This window comes from Homo sapiens, chromosome X (genome assembly GCF_000001405.40).
Source record: "Homo sapiens chromosome X, GRCh38.p14 Primary Assembly".
Classification (NCBI taxonomy): Eukaryota; Metazoa; Chordata; class Mammalia; order Primates; family Hominidae; genus Homo; species Homo sapiens.
This window is the reverse complement of record NC_000023.11, coordinates 58,372,822-58,393,086: the sequence shown is the minus strand read 5'-3', so window position 1 is coordinate 58,393,086 and position 20,265 is coordinate 58,372,822.

Sequence of the window (20,265 nt, the reverse complement as noted above, 5' to 3'; positions counted from 1 at the left end):
TCTACTTTTTATGCTGGGATATTCACTTTTTCGCCATTGGCCACAATGAGCTCCCAAGTGACCACTTGCAGCATGGGCAAAAACAGTGTTTCCCAACTGCTGAATGAAAAAGGACATTGAACTCATGATTTGAATGCAAGCATCACAAAGCAGTTTCTCTGAAAGCTTCTTTCTAGTTTTTATCTGTAGATATTTACTTTTTTAACATACGCCTCAATGTGCTCCCAAATATCCCTTCACAGATTCCACAAAAAGTGTTTCCAAACTGCTGAATGAAAGGAAAGGTTTAACTGTGCTAGATGAATGCACACATCACAAAGTGGATTCTCAGATAGTTTCCTTCTAGTTTTTTTCCTGGTGTAATCTCTCCTTCACAATTTGCCTCAATGAGCTCCCAAATGTCCATTCACACACAGGAAAAAACCAGTGCTTCCAAACGGCTGAATTGAAAGAAATGTTTAACTCTTTGAGATGAATGCAAATATCACAAAGCAGTTTCTCAGAAAGATTCTTTCTAGTTTTTATCTGAAGTTGTATTCTTTTTCACCATAGGCCTCAAAGCGTTCCCAAATATCCCTTCACAGATTCTACAAAAACAGTGTTTCCAAATTGCTGAATGTAAAGAAAAGTTTAATTCTGGGAGATAAATGCACACATCACAATGGGGATTGACAGAGGGCTTCATTCTACTTTTAATCCTTGGATATTCACTTTTTTGCCATTGGCCTCAATGATATCCTAAATCTTCATTCTCAGATTCCACAAAAACATTGTTCCAAACTGCTGACTGAAAAGGAAGGTTTAACTCACTTAAACCAGTTAAACTGCTTAAACTCAGTTAAAGCAGTTTCTCAGAAAGCTTCTTTCTAGTTTTTATCTGAAGATATTTCCTTTTTCACTGTAGACCTCAATGTGCTACTAAATGTCTCTTTGCAGATTCTAAGAAAACAGTGTATAAAAAACTGTTGAATGAGAGGAAAAGAATGACTCTGTGAGAAGAAAGCACACATCACAAATTGGTTTCTCAGATAACTTCCTCCTAGTTTTTATCTTGGGATATTTGCTTTTTTGCCATAGGCCTCAATGAGCTCCCAAATGTCCATTCACAGAATGGACAAGAACAGTGTTTCCAAACTGCTGAATCCAAAGAAAGATTTAACTCTGTGATATGAATGGAAACATCACAAAATAGTTTCTCAGAAAGCATCTTTTTAGTTTTTATCTGAAGATATTTCCTTTTTTACCAAAAGCCTCAATGCACTCCCAAATATCTCTTTGCAGATTCTACAAAAACAGTTTTTCAAAACAGCTGAATGAAAAGAAAGGTTTAACTCTGTGAGGTGAATGCACACATCTGAAAGCAGTTTCTCAGATATCACTTTCTAATTTTTATCATGGGACATTCAATTTCTTGCCATAGGCCTCAATGCGCTTCCAAATATCTTTTCACAGATTCTACAAAAACAGTGTTTCCAAACTGCTGATTTCAAAGAAAGGTTTAATCTTGTGAGATGAATGCACACATTCTAAAGCAGTTTCTCAGAAATCTTCTTCCTATTTTTTATCTGAAGATATATTCTTTTACACCATAGGCCTCAGTGCGCTCCCAAATATCCCTTTGCAGATTCAAAAAAACAGTGTTTCCAAACTGCTGAATGAAAAGAACAGTTTAACTCTGTGAGCTAAATACACACACCACATAGCGGTTTCCTAGATCCTTCCTTCTACTTTTTTCCTGGTATATTATCTTTTTCCCCATTGTTCTCAAAGAGCTCCCATATGTCCATTTGCAGCATGGACAAAAACAGTGTTTTCAAACTGCTGAATCCAAAGGAAGTTTTACCTCTTTGAGATTAAATGCACACATCACAAAGCAGTTTCTCAGAAAGCTTCTTTGTAGTTCTTACCTGAAGCTATTCTCTTTTTCACCATAGGCCTCAAACACTCCCAAATATCCCTTCGCACATTCTACAAAAAAAGCATTTCCAAACTGCTGAATGAAAACAAAGTTTTAACTCTGTGAGGTGAATGCACACATCACAAAGTGGTTTCTCAGATAGCCTCCTTCTAGTTTGTATCCTGGGATATTGGCTTTTATTGCCATTGGCCATAATGAGCACAAAAATGTCCATTTGCAGCATGCACAAAAACAGTGTTTCCAAACAGCTGAATCCAAAGAAAGGTTTAGCTCTGTGAGATGAATGCACACATCACAAAACAGTTTTACAGAAAGAATGTTTCTAATTTTTTTTTATGAAGAGATTTCCTTTTTCACCATAGGCCTCAATGTGCTCCAAAATATCCCCTCACAGATTCTACAAAACCAGTGTTTACAAACTGCTGAATGAAAAGAAAAATTTAACTCTACGAGACAAATGCACACATCATGAAGAGTTTTCTCAGATATTTTCCTCCTAGTTTTTATCCGGGGATACTCACTTTTTCACTTTTGGCCTCAGTGATCTCCCAAATGTCCATTCTGTGAATGGACAAAAAAAGTGTTTCCAAACTGTTGAATCCAAATAAAGTTTTAACACTATGAGACAAATGCACATATCACAAAGCAGTTTCTCATAAAGCTTCTTTCTAGGTTTTATCGGAAGATATTTTGTTTTTCACCATAGGCCTCAACGCGCTGCCAAATATCACTTCACAGATTCTACAAAAAAAAGTTTTTCCAAACTGCTGAATGAATAGAATGGTTTAACACTGCCAGATTGATGCAGACGTCACAAAGCATTTTCTCAGATATCATCCTTATATCTTTTATCGTGGGATACTCACTTTTGCACCATTGGCCTAAATGAGATCCCAAATGTCCACTTGCAGAATGGACAAAAAATGTGCTTGCAAACTGCTGAACCCAAAGAAAGTTTAACTCTGTCAACACATCAAAAAGTAGTCTCTCAGAAAGGTTCTTCCTAGTTTTTATCTGAAGATATTTACTTTTTCACCATAGGCCTCATTGGGTTACCAAATATCTCTTCTCAGATTCTAAGAAAACAGTGTTCCAAACTCCTGAAGGAAAAGAAAGGTTTAAATCTGTGAGATGAATGCACACATCACAAGTCGGTTTCTCAGATAACTTCCTTCTAGTTTTAATCCTGTAATATTAACAATTTTGCCATTGGCCACAAAGAGCTCCCAAATGTCCGTTCACAAAATGGACAAAAACAAGGTTTCCAAACTACTGAATCCAAAGAAAAGTTTAATTCTGTAATTCTGTGAGATGAATGAACACATCACAAAGCAGTTTCTCCAAAAACTTCTTTCTAGTTTTTATTGGAAGATATTTCCTTTTTCCCCGTAGGCCTCAAAGCACTGCCAAATATCCCTTCACAGATTCTACACAAGAAATGTTTCCAAACAGCTGAAAGAAAAGAAAGTTTTAACACTGTGAGATGAATGCATACATCACAAAACGTTTTCTCAGATATCTTCCTTCTAGTTTTTATCCTGGGATATTCAGTTTTTTGCCATTGGCCTCAATGAGCTCACAAAAGCCCGCTCACAGAATGGACAAAAACTGGGTTTCCAAATGCTGGATGAAAAGAAAGTTTTAACACTGCGAGATGAATGTATACATCAAAAAGCAGTTTCTCAGATATCTCCCTTCTAGTTTTTAACTGGGATAAACTCTTTTTCGTCATTGCTTCAATGAGCTCCAAATTGTCCATTCCCAGAATAGACAAAAACAATGTTTCCAACAGTCTTCAGATAAAAACTTGAATGAAGCTTTCTGAGAAACTGCTTTGTTATATGTTCATTTATCTAACAGAGTTAAACCGTTCTTTCATTTCAGCAGTTTGGAAACACTGTTTAGGTCTATTCTTTGAATGGGCATTTGGGAGCTCATTGAGATCAATGGCAAAAAAAAAAAAAACAGAATATCCCAGGATAAAATCTAGAAGGAATTTACATGAGAAAACGCTTTGTGATGTGTGCATTCATCTCACAGATTTAAACCTTTCTTTTCATTCAGCAGTTTGGAAACACTGTTTTGTTAGTATCTGTGAAGAGATATTTGGTAGCACATTCAGGCCTGTGGTGAGAAAGGAAATATCTTCAGATAAAAACTAGAAAGAAACTTATTGAGAAACTGCTTTGGAATGTGTGCATTCATCTGACAGAGTTAAATGTTTCTTTGCATTCAGCAGTTATGTAACACTGTTTTGTCCATTCTGTGAATGGATATTTGGGAACTCAATGAGGCCAATTGCGAAAAAGCAAATATCCCAAGATAAAAACTAGAAGGAAGCTATTTGAGAAAATGTTTTTCATGTGTGCATTCATCTCACAGAATTCAAACTTTCTTTTCATTCATCAGTTTTGAAACACTGTTTTTGTAGAATCTGCAAAAGGATACTTAGCAGTGCATTGAGGCCTATCATGAAAAAGGAAATACCTTCAGATAAAAACTAGAAAGAAGCTTACTAAGAAACTGCTTTTTGACATGTTCACTCATTTTGCAGTGTTAAACCTTCCTTTGGATTCAACAGTTTGGAAAGACTTTTTGTCCATTCTGCTAATGGACATTTGGGAACTCCTTGAGTCCAATGGTGAGAAAGTGAATATCCTAGGATAAAAAGTAGACGGAAATTATCTGAGAAACTGATTTGTGATGTGTGCATTCATCTCACAGAGTTTAAACTGTCTTTTTATTCAGCCATTTGGAAACACAGTTTTTTGGAATTTGCAAAGAGATATTTGGTAGCACATTGAGGCCTGTTGAGAAAAAAATGATCTTCAGATAAAAACTAGAAAGAGTCTTAATGAGAATCTGCTTTGTGATGTGTGCATTCCTCTGACAGAGTTAAATCTTTCTTTGGAATCAGTAGTTTGGTAACAATATTTTTGTCCTTTCTGCACATGGACATTTGAGAGCTCATTGAGGCCAATGGCTAAAAAGAGAATATCACAAGACAAAAAGAAGGAAGCTCTCTGAGAAAATGCTTTGTGATGGGTGCATTCATCATGCAGAATTAAACCTCTCTTTTCATTGAGGAGTTTGGAAACAGTTTATGTAGAATCTGTGAAGGGATATTTGGGGAGCGCATTAAAGTCTATAGTGAAAGTGGAAATATCTTCAGATAAAAACTAGAAAGGTGCTTTCTGAGAAACTGCTTTGTGCTGTGTTCTTTCATTCAAAGAGTTAAACATTTCTTTGGATTCAGCAGTTTGGTAACACTGTTGTTGTCCATTCTGCGAATGGACATTTGGGAGCTCATTAAGGCCAATGGCAAAAAAGTGAATAGCCCAGGATAAAAACTAGAAGGAAGCTACCTGAGAAACCCCTTTGTGATGTGTTCATTCTTATCACAGAGTTAAACCTTTCTTTTCATTCAGCATTTTGGAAACACGGTTTTTGTAGAATCTGCAAATGGACATTTGGGAATTAATTGAGGCTAATGGCAAAAAAGTGAATATCCCAGGATAAAAACTAAAAGGAAGTTATCTGAGAAAATGATTTGTGATGTGTTCATTCATCTTGCAGAGTTAAACCTTTTTTTCATTTAGCAGTTTGGAAACACTGTTTTTATAGAATCTGTGAAGGGATATTTAGCAGCGCATTGAGGCCTATGGTGAAAAATGAAATATCTTTAGATAAAAACTAGAAAAAAGCTTTCTGAGAAACGGCTTTGCGATGTGGTCACTCATCTCACAGAGTTAAATATTTCCTTGGACTCAGCAGTTTTGAAACACTGTTTTAACCCAATCTGCGAATGGACATTTGGGAATTCATTGAGGCCAATGGCAAAAAAAGCAAATATCCCAGGATAAAAACTAGAAGGAAATTATCTGAGAAACGGATTTGTGATGTGTGCATTCACCTTACAGAGCAAACCCTTCTTCTCATTCAGCAGTTTGAAAACTGTTTTCTTAGGTTCTGTGAAGAGGTTTTGATAGCGCATTGAGGCATAGGGTGAAAAAGGAAATACTTTCCAATAAAAATTAGAAAGAAGCTTTCTGAGAAAATGCTTTGGGATATGTGTGTTCATCTCACAGAGTGAAAGCTTTCTTTGGCTTCAGCAGTTTGGAAACACTGTATTTGTCCATTCTGCAAATGCACATTTGGGAAATCATTGCGGCTAATGGTGGCAAAGTGAATATCCCAGTATAAAACTAGAAGGAACATATCTGAGAAATGTTTATGTTGTGTGCATTAATCTCAAAGAGTTAAACCTTCCTTTTCATTCAGCAGTTTTGGAAAAGTATTTCTACCATCTGTGAAGTGATATTTGGGAGCACATTGGGGCCTATGGTGAAAAAGGGAATATATTCAGGTAAAAACTATAAAGAAGGTTTCTGAGAGACTGCTTTCTGATGTGTTCATTCTTCTCACAGAGTTAAACCTTTCTTTGGATTCAGCAGTTTGGAAATACTATTTTTTCAAATTCTCTGAATGGACCTTTGGGAACGCATTGAGGCCAATGGTGAGAAAGTGAATATCCCAGGATAAAAACTAGAAGAAATTTATCTGAGAAACCAATTTGTGATGTGTGCAATCATCTCAAAGTGTTAAAACTTTCTTTTCATTCTGCCGTTTGGAAACAGTGTTTACGTTGAATCTGCGAAGAAATATTTTGTAGCGCAAATGGGCCTATGGTGAAAAAGGAAATATCTTCAGATAAAAACTAGAAAGAACCTTTCTGACAGACTGCTTTTTGATATGTGCATTCATTTCACAGAGTTCAACTTTTCTTTGCATTCAACAGCTAGGTAACACTGTCTTTGTCCATTCTGTGAATGGACTTTTGGGAGCTCATGGAGACCAATGGCAAAAAAGTGAATATCCCAGGATAAAATTTGAAGGAAGATATCTGAGAAAATGCTTGTGATGTGTGCATTCATCTAGCAGTGTTAAACCTTTCTTTACTTTCCACTGTTTGTAAGTACTTTAGTACAATCTGCAAAGTGATATTTGGTAGCACATTGAGGCCTATTGTGAAAAAGGAAATATCTTCAGATAAAAACGAGAAAGAGGCTTAATGAGAAACAGGTTTCAGATGTGTGCATTCATCTCACAGAGTTAAAACATTGTTTGGATTCGGCAGTTTGGTAACAATGTTTTTGTACATTGTGTGAATGGACATTTGGGAGCTCATTGAGGCCAATGGTGAAAAAGTGAATATACCATGATAGAAACTAGAAGGAAGATATCTGAGAAAATGCTGTGTGATGTGTTCATTCATCTCATAATGATAAACCTTTCTTTTCATTCAGCAGTTTGGAAACACTGTTTTTGTAGTGTCTGTGATAGATAATTGGGAGCGCATTGAGGTCTATGGTGAAAAAGTTAATATCTTCAGATAAAAACTATAAAGAAGCTTTCTGATAAACTGATTTGTGCTGTGCTCATTCATCTCACAGAGTTAAACCTTTCTTAGGATTCAGCAGTTTGGAAACACTGTTTTTGTCCATTCTGTGAATGGACATTTGGGAGCTCATTGGGGCCAATGGTGAAAAAGGGAATATCCCAGGATAAAACTAGAAGAAAGTTATCTGAGAAACCGATTTGTGATGTGTGCATTCATCTCACAGAGTTGAAACTTTTTTTCATTAAGCAGTTAGGAAACACTGTTGTCTTTGAATATGCGAAGAGATATTTTGTAGTGCAAAGAGGCCTATGGTGAAAAAGGAAATATCTTCAGATAAAAACTAGAAAGAAGCATTCTGACAGACTGCTTTTTGATGTGTGCTTTCATCTCATAGAGTTGAACTTTTCTTTGGGTTCAACAGTTAACTAACACTGTCTTTTTCCATTCTGTGATTGGATATTTGGGAGCTCATTGAAGCCAATGGTGAAAAAGTGAATATCTCAGGATAAAATTAGAAGGAAGATATCTGTGAGAATGCTTTGTGATGTGTGCATTCATCTTGCAGTGTTAAAACTTTCTTTACACTCAGCAGATTGGAAGCCCTGTTTTTAGAATCTGCGAAGAGATATTTTGTAGCACATTGAGGCCTATTGTGAAACAGGAAATATCTTCAGATAAAAACAAGTAAGAAGCTTAAGGAGAAACTGCTTTGTGATGTGTGCATTCATCTCACAGGGTTGAACTTTCTTTGGATTCAGCAGTTTGGTAACAGTGTTTTTGTCCATTGTGTGAATGAACATTTGAGAGCTCATTGAGGCCAATGGTGAAAAAGTGAATATACCACTAGAAGGAAGATATCTGAGAAAACGCTTTGTGATGTGTGCATTCATCTCGTAGTGTTAAACCTTCATTTTCATTCAGCAGTTTGGAAACATTGTTTTTGTAGTATCTGTGATAGATAACTTGCAGTGCATTGAGTCCTATGGTGAAAAAGGAAATATCTTCAGATAAATACTAGAAAGAAGATTTCTGATAAACTGATTTGTGCTGTGTTCATTCATCTCACAGACTTTAAACTTTCTTTGGATTCAGCAGTTTGTAACACTGTTTTTGTCCATTCTGCAAATGGACATTTTGGATCTCTTTGAGGCCAATGTCAAAAAAGCAAATATTCCAAGATGAAAACTAGAAGAAAGCTGTCTGAGAAAACGCTTTGTGATGGGTGCATTCATCTCACACAGTTAAACCTTTCTTTTAAATCAGGAGTTTTGAAACACTGTTTTTGTAGAATCTGTGATAGATATTTTGCAGCACATTGGAGACCAATGGTCAAAAAGAAAATATCTTCAGATAAAAACTAGAAAGAAGCTTAATGAGAAACTGCTTTGGATGTGTGCATTCATTTCACAGTTAAACATTTCTTTGGATTGAGCATTTGATAACACACTTGTTTTCAATTCTGTGAATGGACATTTCAGAGCTCATTGAGTCCAATGGCAAAAAAGTGAATATCTCAGGATAAAACAGAGAAAGAAGATATCTGAAAAAAGGCTTTGGGATGTGTGCATTCATCTCACAGAATTACACCTTTCTTTTCATCCAGCAGTTTGGAAACACTGTTTTTGTAAAGTCTGTGAAGGTATATTTGAGAGTGCATTGAGGCCTATGGTGAAAAAGGAATTTTCTTCAGACAAAAACTCGAAAGAAGCTTTCTGATAAACTGCTTTGTGATGTGTTCATTCATCTCACAGAGGTAAAGCTTTCTTTGGATTCAGCAGTTTGGAAACACTGTTTTTGTCCATTCTGTGAATGGACATTTGGGAGCTCATTGAGGCCAATGGCAAAAAAGTGAATATCCCAGGATAAAATCTATATTTAAGAGCATATTGAGGCCTATGGTGGAAAGCAAAATATCTTCAGATGAAAACTAGAAAGAAGCTTTCTGAGAAACTGCTTTTTGAAGTGTGCTTTGATCCCACAGATTTAAACCTTTCTTTAGATTCAGCAGTTTGGTAACACTGTTTTTGTCCATTGTGTGAATGGACATTTGGGAGCTCATTTAGTCCAATGGCAAAAGTGAATACCCCAGGATAAAATCTAGAAGAAAATTATCTGAGAAACCGATTTGTGATGTGTGCATTCATCTCACAGAGTTAAACCTTTATTTTCATTCAGTAGTTTGGAAATACTGTTTTCTCAGAATCTGCAAAGAAAGAGATATTTGGTAGCGCATTGAGGCCTATCAGGAAAAAGGAATTTGCTTCAGATAAAAAGTAGAAGGAAGCTTAATGAGAAACTGCTTGGGGATGTGTGTATTCATCTTACAGAGTTAAAACTTTCTTTGGATTCAGCAGTTTGGAAACACTGTTTTTGTCCATTCTACAAATGGATATTTAGGAGCTCATTGAGGCCAATGGCAGAGAAGCCAATATCCCAGGATAAAATCCAGATGGAAGATATCTGAGAAAATGCTCTGTGTTGTGTGCATTCATCTCACAGAGTTAAACCTTTCTTTTCATTCATCAGCTTGTAAACATTGTTTTCATAGAATCTGCAAAGAGATATTTTGGAGTGCATTGAGGCCTATGGTGAAAAAGGAAATATATTCAGGAAAAAACTTGAAAGAAGCTTTCTGAGAAACTGCTTTGTGATGGGTTCATTCATCTTACAGTGTTAAACCTTTCTTTGGATTCAGCAGTTTGGAAACACTGTTTTTGTACATTCTGTAAATGGACTTTGGGACTCATTGAGGCCAATGGCGAAAAAGGGAATATCCCAGGATGAAAACTAGCAGCACTTTATCTGAGAAACTGCTTTGTGATGTGTTCATTCATCTCGGATAGTTAAACCTGTCTTTCCGTTCAGCATATTGGAAACACTGTTATTGTAGAATCTGCAAAGGGATATTTGACAGCGCATTGAGGCCTATGGTGAAAAGCGAAATATCTTCAAATGAAAACTAGAAAGAAGCTTTCTGAGAAACTGCTTTTTGAAGTGTGCTTTGATCTCACCGAGTTAAACCTTTATTTAGATTCAGCAGTTTGGTAACACTGTTTTTGTCCATTGTGTGAATGGACATTTGAGAGCTCATTTAGTCCAATGGCAAAAGTGAATATCCCAGGATAAAATCTAGCAGGAAGTTACCTGAGAAACCGATTTGTGATGTGTGCACTCATCTCAAAGAGTTATACCTTTCCTTTCATTCAGCAGTTTGGAAACGTTGCTTTCTTAGAATTGGCAAAGAGACATTTGGCAGCGATTTGAGGCCTAAGGTGAAAAAGGAAATATCTACAGATGAAAACTAGAAAGAAGCTTAATGAGAAACTGCTATGGGATGTGTGCATTCATCTCACAGAGTTAAACTTTTCTTTGGATTCAGCAGTTTCGTAACACTGTTTTTGTCCATTCTGTGAATGGACATTTGGGAAGTCATTGAGGCCAATGGTGAAAAAGTGAATATCCCAGGATAAAACTAGAAGGAACATAACTGAGAAAATGGTTTGTGATTTGTGCATTCATCTCACAGAGTTAAACCTTTCTTTTCATTCAGTAGTTTGGAAACACTGTTTTTGTAGAATCTGTGAAGGGCTATTTGGCAGCACATTGAGGCCTATCATGAAAAAGGAAACATCTTCAGATAAAAACTGGAAACAAGCTTTCTGAGAAATTGCTTTGTGATGTGTTCATTCATGTTAGAGAGTTAAACTTTCTTTGGCTTCACCAGTTTGGAAACACTGTTTTTGTCCATTCTGCAAATGGATACTTGGGAGATCACTGAGGCCAATGGCAAAAAAGTCAATATCCAAGGATAAAACCTAGAGGCACGTTACCTGAAAAAAGATTTCTGATGTGTGCATTCATCTCACAGAGTTAAACCTTTCTTTTTATTCATCAGTTTGGAAACACTGTTTTCTTAGAATCTGTGAATAAATATTTGGTAGCACAATGAGGCCTATGGTGAAAAAATAAATATCTTCAGATAAATACTAGAAATAATATTTATGAGAGAATACTTTTTGATGTGTGGATTCATCTCGGAGTTAAAGCTTTCTTTCCATTCAGAAATTTGGTAAAACTGTTTTTTCTATTCTGCCAATGGACATTTGGGTGCTCATTGAGACCAAGGGCGAAAAAGTGAACATTCCAGGATAAAAACTAGAAGGAAGCACTCTGAGAAAACGCTTTGTGATGTATGCATTCATCTCACACAGTCAAAAATTTCTTTTCATTCAGCAGTTTGGAAACACTGTTTTTGTAGTGTCTGCAAGGGGATACTTGGCAGTGCTTCGAGGCCTATTTTGAAAAAGGAAATATCTTCAGATAAAATCTAGAAAGAAGCTTAATGAGGAACTGCTTTCTGATATGTTCATTCCTCTCACAGAGTTAAACCTTTCTTTGGATTCAGCAGTTTGGTAATAATGCTTTTGTCCATTCTGTGAATGGACACTTGGGAGCTCATTGAGGCCAATGGCAAAATAACGAATATCCCAGGATAAAAACTAGAGGGAAGCTCTATGTGAAACCACTTTTTGATGTGGGTATTCATTTCATGGAGTTAAAACTGTCGTTTCATTCAGCAGTTTGGAAACACTGTTTTTATGGACTATGTGAAAGGATATTTGGCAGCGCATTGAGACATATGGTGAAAATGGATATATCTTCAGATAAAAACTAGAAAGAAGCTCCCTGAGAGACTGCTTTGTGACGTCAGCTTTCATCTCACACTGTTAAACATTTCTTTGAATTCAACAGTTTGGTAACACTGTTTTTGTCCTTTGTGCGAATGGGCATTTTGGAGCCCATTGAGTCCAATGGCAAAAAAGTCAGTATCCCAGGATAAAAAAGACAAGGACGGTATCTGAGAAAAAACTTTGTGATGTGTGCATTCATCTCAAAGAGTTAAGCCTTTCTTTTCTTTCAGCTATTTGGAATCATTGTTGTTGTAGAATCTGCAATGGGATATTTGGGAGCGCATTGAGTCCTATGGTGAAAAAGGGAACATATTCAGATAAAAACTAGAAAGAAGCTTTTTGAGAAACTGCTTTGTGAAGTGTGCTTTCATCTCACAATGTTAAACCTTTCTTTGAATTCAGCAGTTTGGTAACACTTTTTGTCCATTGTGCGAATGGACATTTGGGAGCTCATTGAGTCCAATGGCAAAAGAGTGAGTATCCCAGGATAAAAATTAGAAGGAAGATATCTGAGAAAAAGCTTTGTCATGTGTGCATTCATCTCAAAGAGTTAAACCTTTCTTTTCATTCAGCAGTTTGGAAACACTGTTTTTGTAGAATCAGAGAAGGGATATTAGGCAGCGCATTGAGGCCTGTTGTGAAAAAGGAAATATATTCAGATAAAAACAAAAAAGCTTTCTGAGAAACTGCTTTGTGCTGGGTTCATTCATATCACAGAGTTAAATATTTTTTTGGATTCAGCAGTTGGGTAACACTGTTTTTGTCCATTCTGTGAATGGACATTTGGGAGCTCTTTGAGGCCAATGGCAAACATCCAGGGGTAAAAATTAGAAGGAAGCTCTCTGAGAAACTGCCTTGTGATTTCTTCATTCATTTCAGAGAGTTAAACCTTTCTTTGGATTAACCCATTTGGAAAAACTGTTTTTGCCCATTCTGCAAATGGACATTTGAGATGTCATTGAGGCCAATAAGGAAAAAGGGAATATCCAAGGATAAAAACTAGAAGGAAGATATCTGAGAAAATGCTCCATGTTGTGTGCATTCATCTTGCAGGGTTAAAACTTTTTTTTCATTCAACAGTTTGGAAGCACTGTTTTTGTAGAATCTGTGAAGGAATATTTGGCAGCTTCTTGAGACCTATTGTGAAAAACGAAATATCTTCAGATAAAAACTAGAAAGAAGCTTTCTGAGGAACTGCATTGTGATGGGTTGGACATTTGGGAGCTCATTGAGGCCAAAGGCGAAAAAGTTAACATCCCAGGATAAAACTAGAAGAACAATATCTGAGAAACCAACTTATGATGTATGCATTCATCTCACAGAGTTAAAACTTTTCTTCATTCAGCAGTTTTGAACACCGTTTTCTTAGAATCTGCGAAGAGATATTTTGTAGTGCAATGCGGCCTACTGTGAAAAAGGCAATATCTTCAGATATAAATTAGAAAGAAACTTTCTGAGAGACTAGTTTTTGATGTGGGGATTCATCTCACAGTGTTGAGACTTTCTTTGGATTGAGCAGTTTATTTACACTGTTTTTGACCACTCTGCCAATGAACATTTGGGAGCCCATTGAGGCCAATGGTGAAAAAGCAACTGTCCCAGGATAAAAACAAGCACGTATCTGAGAAACTGATTGGTGATGTGTGCTTTGGTCTCACAGAGTTAAACCTTTCTTTTCATTAAGCAGTTTGGAAACACTCCTTTTTTGGAATATGTGAAAGGATATTTGGAAGCACATTGAGACCTATGATGAAAAAGGATATGTCTTCAGATAAAAACTAGAAAGAAGTTTTCTGAGAAGCTGTTTCATGATGTCTTCATTCGTCTCACAGAGTTAAAACTTTCTTTGGATTCAGCAGTTGGGAAACACTGTTTTTGTCCATTCTGCGCGTGGACATTTGGGAGCTCATTGAGACCAATGGCGAAAAAGCAAATATCCCAGGATATAAACTAGAAAGAAGTGATTGGAGAAACCCATTTGTGATGTGTGCATTCATCTCACAGAGTTGAACTTTTCTTTTCATTCAGCTGTTTTGAAACACTGTTTTCTTAGAATGTGTGAACTGATATTTGGTAGCACATTGAGGCCTATGGTGAAAAATGAAATATCTTCAAATAACAACTAGAAAGGAGCTTAAAAACAAACTGCTTTGGGATCTCTGCATTCATCTCACAGAGTTAAACTTTTCTTTGGATTCAGCAGTTTGGTAACACTGTTTTTGTCCATTCTGTGAATGGACATTTGGGAGCTCACTGAGGCCAATGGCAAAAAAGAGAATATTCCAGGATAAAAACTAGAAGGAAGATATCTGAGAAACTGCTTTGTGATGTGTGCATTCACCGCACACAGTTAAAACTTGCTTTTCATTCAGCATTTTGGAAACACCTTTTTTATAGAATCTGTGAAGGGATATTTGGCAGTGAATTGAGGCCTATGGTGAAAAAGGAAATATATTCAGATAAAAACTAGAAAGAAGCTTTCTGAGAAACTGCTTTGGGAAGTGTTCATTCATCTCACAGAGTTCAACCTTTCTTTGGATTCAGCAGTTTGATAACACTATTTTTGTCCATTCTGCGAATGGACATTTGGGAGCTCATTGAGCCCAATGGCCAAGAAGCGAATATCTCATGATAAAAACTAGAAGGAAGCTCTCTGAGAAACCGCTTTATGATGCATGCATTCATCTTGCAGAGTTAAACCTCTCTTTTCATTCAGCAACTTGTAAACACTTTTTTCTTAAAATCTTTGAATAGATATTTGGTAGTGCAATGAGGCCTATGGTGAAAAAGGAAATATCTTTAGATAAAAACTAGCAAGTACTTTTCTGAGAGAATACTTTTTGATGTGGGGATTCATCTCATGGAGTTAAATTTTCCCTTAGATTCAACAATGTATTTACACTGTTTTAGTCCGTTCTGTCTACGGACATTTGGGAGCCTATTGAGGCCAATGGTGAAAAAGTGAATATCCCAGTATAAAAGCTACAAGCACTTTATCTGAGAAACTGATTTGTGATGTGAGCATTCATCTCACAGAGTTAAATCTTTCTTTTCATTCAGCAGTTTGGAGACACTCTTTTTGTACAATGTTTTAAGGGATATTTGGAAGCATATTGAGGCCTATTGTGAAAAACAATATGTCTTCAGATACAAACTAGAAAGAAACTTTCTGAGAAACTGCTTTGTGATGTGTTCATTCACCTCACAGAGTTAAACTTTTGTTTGGATTCAGCAGTTTGGAAACACTGTTTTTGCCCATTCTGTGAATGGACATTTGGGAGCTCATGGAGGCCAACGTTAAAAAAGTGAATATCCTAGGATAAAAACTAGGAGGAAGCTCTCTGAGAAAATGCTGTGTGATGTGTGCATTCATCTCACAGTGTTAAGCCTTTCTTTTCATTCAGCAGTTTGGAAACATTGTTTTTGTAGAATCTGCCAAGGGATATTTGGGAGTTCACAGAGGCCTATGGTGAAAAAGGGAATATGTTCAGGTAAAAACTAGAAAGAAGCTTTCTGAGAAACTGCTTTGTGATGTGTTCATTCATCTTACAGAGATAAACCTTTCTTTGCAGTCATCAGTTTGGAAACACTGTTTTTCTCCATTCTGCAAATCGACATTTGGGAGCTCCTTGTGGCCTATGGCAAAAAAGCAAATATCCCGTGATAAAAACTAGAAAGAAGTTATCTGAGAAACCGATTTGTGATGTGTGCATTTATCTCACAGAGTTAAACCTTTCTTTTCATTCAGCAGGTTGGAAACACTGTTTTCTTAGAATCTGCAAAGAGATATTTGGAAGCATAATGAGGCATATGGTGAAAAAGGAAATACCTTTAGATAAAAAACAGAAAGATCTATTCTGAAAGACTACTTTTTGATGTGTGGATTCTTTTCATAGAGTTAAACCTTCCTTTGGATTCAGCAGTTTATTTACCCTGTTTTTATCCATACTGCCAGTGGGAGCCCCTTGTGGCCAAAGTGTAAAAGCGGATAACCCAGGATAAAAACTACAAGCACATTATCTGAGAAACTGATTGGTGATGTGTGCATTCATCTCACAGAGTTAAACATTTCTTTTCATTCAGCAGCTTGGAAACACTCTTTTTGTAGAATATGTGAAGGGATATTTGGAAGCGCATTGAGGCCTAATGTGAAAAATCATATGTCTTCAGATAAAAACTAGAAATAAGCTTTCTGAGTACCTGCTTTGTGATGTGTTCATTCATCTCACAGAGTTAAAGCTTTCTTTGGATTCAACAGTTGGTAAACACTCTTTTTGTCTATTCTGCTCATGGACATTTGGGAGCTCATTGAGGCCATTGACAAAAAAGCAAATATCCCATGAAGACAACTAGAAATAAGTTATCTGAGAAAGCGATTTGTGATGTTGTGCATTCATCCCACAGAGTTAAAATTTTCTTTTCATTCAGCAGTTTTGAAACACTGTTTTGTTAGAATCTGCAAACTGATATTTGGTAGCGCATTGAGGCCTGCGGTGAAAAAACAATATATCTTCAGATAAAAACTAGAAAGAAGCTTAATGACAAACTTCTGTGGGATTTGTGCATTCATCTCACAGAGTTAAACATTTCTTTGGATTCAACAGTTTGGGAACACTGGTTTTGTCCATTCTGGAATGGATATTTGTGAGCTCATTGAGGCCAATAGTGACAAAGAGAATATCCCAGGATAAAAACTAGAAGGAAGCTCTCTGAGAAACCACTTTGTGATGTGTGCATTCATCTCCCAGAGTTAAAACTTTCTTTTCATTCAGCAGTTTGGAAACACTGTTTTTGTAGAATCTGCGAAGGGATATTTGGCTGCGCATTGAGGCCAATTGTGAAAGAGGCAATATCATCAGATAAAAACTAGAAAGAAACTTTCTGAGAAACTGCTTTGTGATGTGTTCACTCATCTCACAGATTTCAACTTTCTTTGGATTCAGCAGTTTGGTATCACTGTTTTTGTCCATTCTGTGAATGGACATTTGGGGGCTCATTGATCCCAATGGTGAAAAAGCAAATATCTCAGGATAAAAACCAGATGCATTCATCTAGTTATGCATTAATCTCGCAGAGATAAAACTTTCTTTTCATTTAGCAGTTTGGAAACACTGTTTTCTTAGAATCTGCAAAGAGACATTTGGTAGCACAATGAGGCCTATGGTGAAAAAGGAAATGTCTTTAGATAAAAACTAGAAAGAACATTTCTGAGAGACTACTTTTAGATGAGGGGGTTCATCTCACAGAGTTAAATCTTTCTTTGTTTTCAGCAGTTTATTTACACTTTTTTTGACCTTTCCACCAATGGACATTTGAGAACCCTTTGAGGGCAATGGCAAAAAAGCAAATATCCCAAGATGAAAACTACAAGCACGTTATCTGAGAAACTGATTTGTTATGTGTGCATTCGTCTCACAGAGTTAAACCTTTCTTTTCATTCTGCAGTTTAGAAACACTCCTTTTGTAGAATATGTGAAGGGATATTTGGAAGTGCATTGAGGCCTATGGTGAAAAAGGATATGTCTTCAGATAAAAACAAGAAAGAAGCTTTCTGGGAAACTGCTTTGGGATATGTTCATTCATCTCACAGAGTTAAACCTTTCTTTCAATTCAGCAGTTTGGAAACACTGTTTTTGTCCATACTGTGAATGGACATTTAGGAGCTCATTGAGGCCAATGGCAAAAAAGTGAATATCCCAGGATAGAAACTAGAAGGAAGTAATCTGAGAAAGCTATTTGTGATGTGTGCATTCTTCTAACAATGTTAAATCTTCCTTTTCATTCAGCAGTTTGGAAACACTGTTTTCTTAGAATCTGCAAACTGATATTTGTAGCGAATTGAGGCCTATGTTGAAAAATGAAATATCTTCAGATAGAAACTGGAAAGAAGCTTAATGACAAACTGCTTTGGGATCTGTGCATTCAGCTCACAGAGTTAAGCATTTCTTTGGATTTAGCAGTTTGGAAACACTGTTTTTGTCCCCTCAGCTAATGGACATTTGGGAGCTCATTGAGGCCAGTGTCGAAAAAGCAAATATCCTAGGATTAAAAACTAGAAGAAAGCTCTCTGAGAAGACGCTTTGTGATGTCTGCATTCATCTCACAGAGTTAAACCTTTCCTTTCATGCAGCTGTTTGGTAACACTGTTTTCTTAGAATTTGCAAAGTGATATTTGGTAGTGCAATGAGGCCTATGGTGAAAAAGGAAGCATATTCAGATACAAATATATCTCAGAAAGAACCTTTCTGAGAGGCTACTTTTTGTTGTGGTTATTCATCTCAGAGAGTTAAACCATTCTTTGGATTCAGCACTTTATATACACTGTTTTTGTCCATTCTGCTAATGGACATTTGGGAGACCAATGAGGCCAATGGTGAAAAATCGAATACCCAGGAAAAAAACTGCAAGCACATTATCTGAGAAACCGATTTGGGATGTGTGCATTCATCTCTCACAGTTAAGCACTTCTTTTCATTCAGCAGTTTGGAAACACTTTTTTCGTACAATCTGCAAAGGGATATTTGGCAGCGCATCGAGGCCTGTAGTGAAAAAGGAAATATCTTCAGATAAAAACTAGAAAGAAGTTTAACAAGAAAGTGCTTTGGAGTGTGAGCATTCATCTCACAGAATAAAACCTTTCTTTGGATTCAGAAGTTTGGTAACAGTGTTTTTGTCCATTCTGTGAATGGACATTTGGGAGCTCATTGAGGCCAAAGGCAAAAAAGCAAATATCCCTGGATAAAAACTAGAAGGAAGATATCTAAGCAACTGCTCTGTGTTGTGTGCATTCATCTCGCAGAGTTCAACTTTTCTTTTCACTCAGCAGTTCAGAATCATTGTTTTGTGATATTTGGGAGCACATTGAAATCTTGGTGAAAAAGGAAATATCTTCAGACAAAAACTAGAAAGAATCTCTCTGAGAAACTGCTTTGCGATGTGTCTATTCATCTCCCAAAATTAAACCTTCTTTGGATTCAGCAGTTTGATAACACTGCTTTATTCCATTCTGCAAGTGGACATTTGGAAGCTCTTTGAGGCCAAAGGTGAAAAAGCAAATATCCCAGGATAAAAACTAGAAGGAACCTCTCTGAGATACTGCTTTGTGATGTATGCATTCATCTCACAGTGTTAAACCTTTCTTTTCATTGAAGCAGTTTCAAAACACTGTATTTGTAGCATCTGCAAAGGGATATTTGGCAGTGCATTAAGGCCCATGGTGAAAAAGGAAATATCTTCATATTAAAACTAGAAACAGCTTTCTGAGAAACTGCTTTGTGATGTGTTCATACATCTCCCAGAATTAAACCTTTATTTGGATTCAGCAGTATAATAACACTGTTTTTGTCCACTTTGAGAATGGACATTTTGGAGCTCATTGAGGCCAAAAGCGAAAAAAGGAATACCATGATAAAAACTACCAAGAAGATATCTGAGAAACTGCTCTGTGTTGTGTGCATTCATCTCGCAGATTTAAAGCTTTCTTTTCATTTAGCATTTGGAAACATTGTTTTTGTAGAATATGCAAAGGGATATTTGGGATCGCATTGAGGACTATGATGAAAAAGGAATATATTCATTAAAAACTAGAAAGAAGCTATCTCAGAAACTGCTTTGTTATGTGTTCATTCGTCTTAAAGAGTTAAACGTTTCTTTGGATTCAGCTGTTTGGAAACACTGTTTTTGTTCATTCTGCAAATGGACAGTTGGGATCCCATTGAGGCCAATGGCGAAAAAGTGAATATCCCAGGATAAAAACTACAAGCAAGTTATCGGAGAAACTTATTTGTGTTGTGTGCTTTCGTCTCACAGAATTAAACCTTTCTTTATATTAAGCAGTTTGGAAACACTGTTTTTGTAGAATATGTGAAGGGATATTTCAAATGCATTGAAGCCTATTGTGAAAAAGGAAGTATCTTCAGATAAAAACTAGAAAGCGGCTTTCTGAGAAACTGCTTTGTGATGTGTTCATTCATCTCACAGAGTTCAGCCTTTCTTTGGATTCAGCAGTTTGATAACACTGTTTTTGTTCATTCTGTGAATGGAAATTTGGGAACTCATCATGGCAAAAGGTGAAAAAGAAAATATCCCATTATAAAAATTAAAAGGAAGCTATCTGAGAAACTGCTTTGAGATATATGCATTCAGCTCATAGAGTAAAACCTTTCTGTGGATTCAGCAGTTTCATAAAACTGTTTTTCTCCGTTCTGTGAATGGACATTTGGGAGCTCATTGAGGCCAAAGGAGAAAAGGTGAAT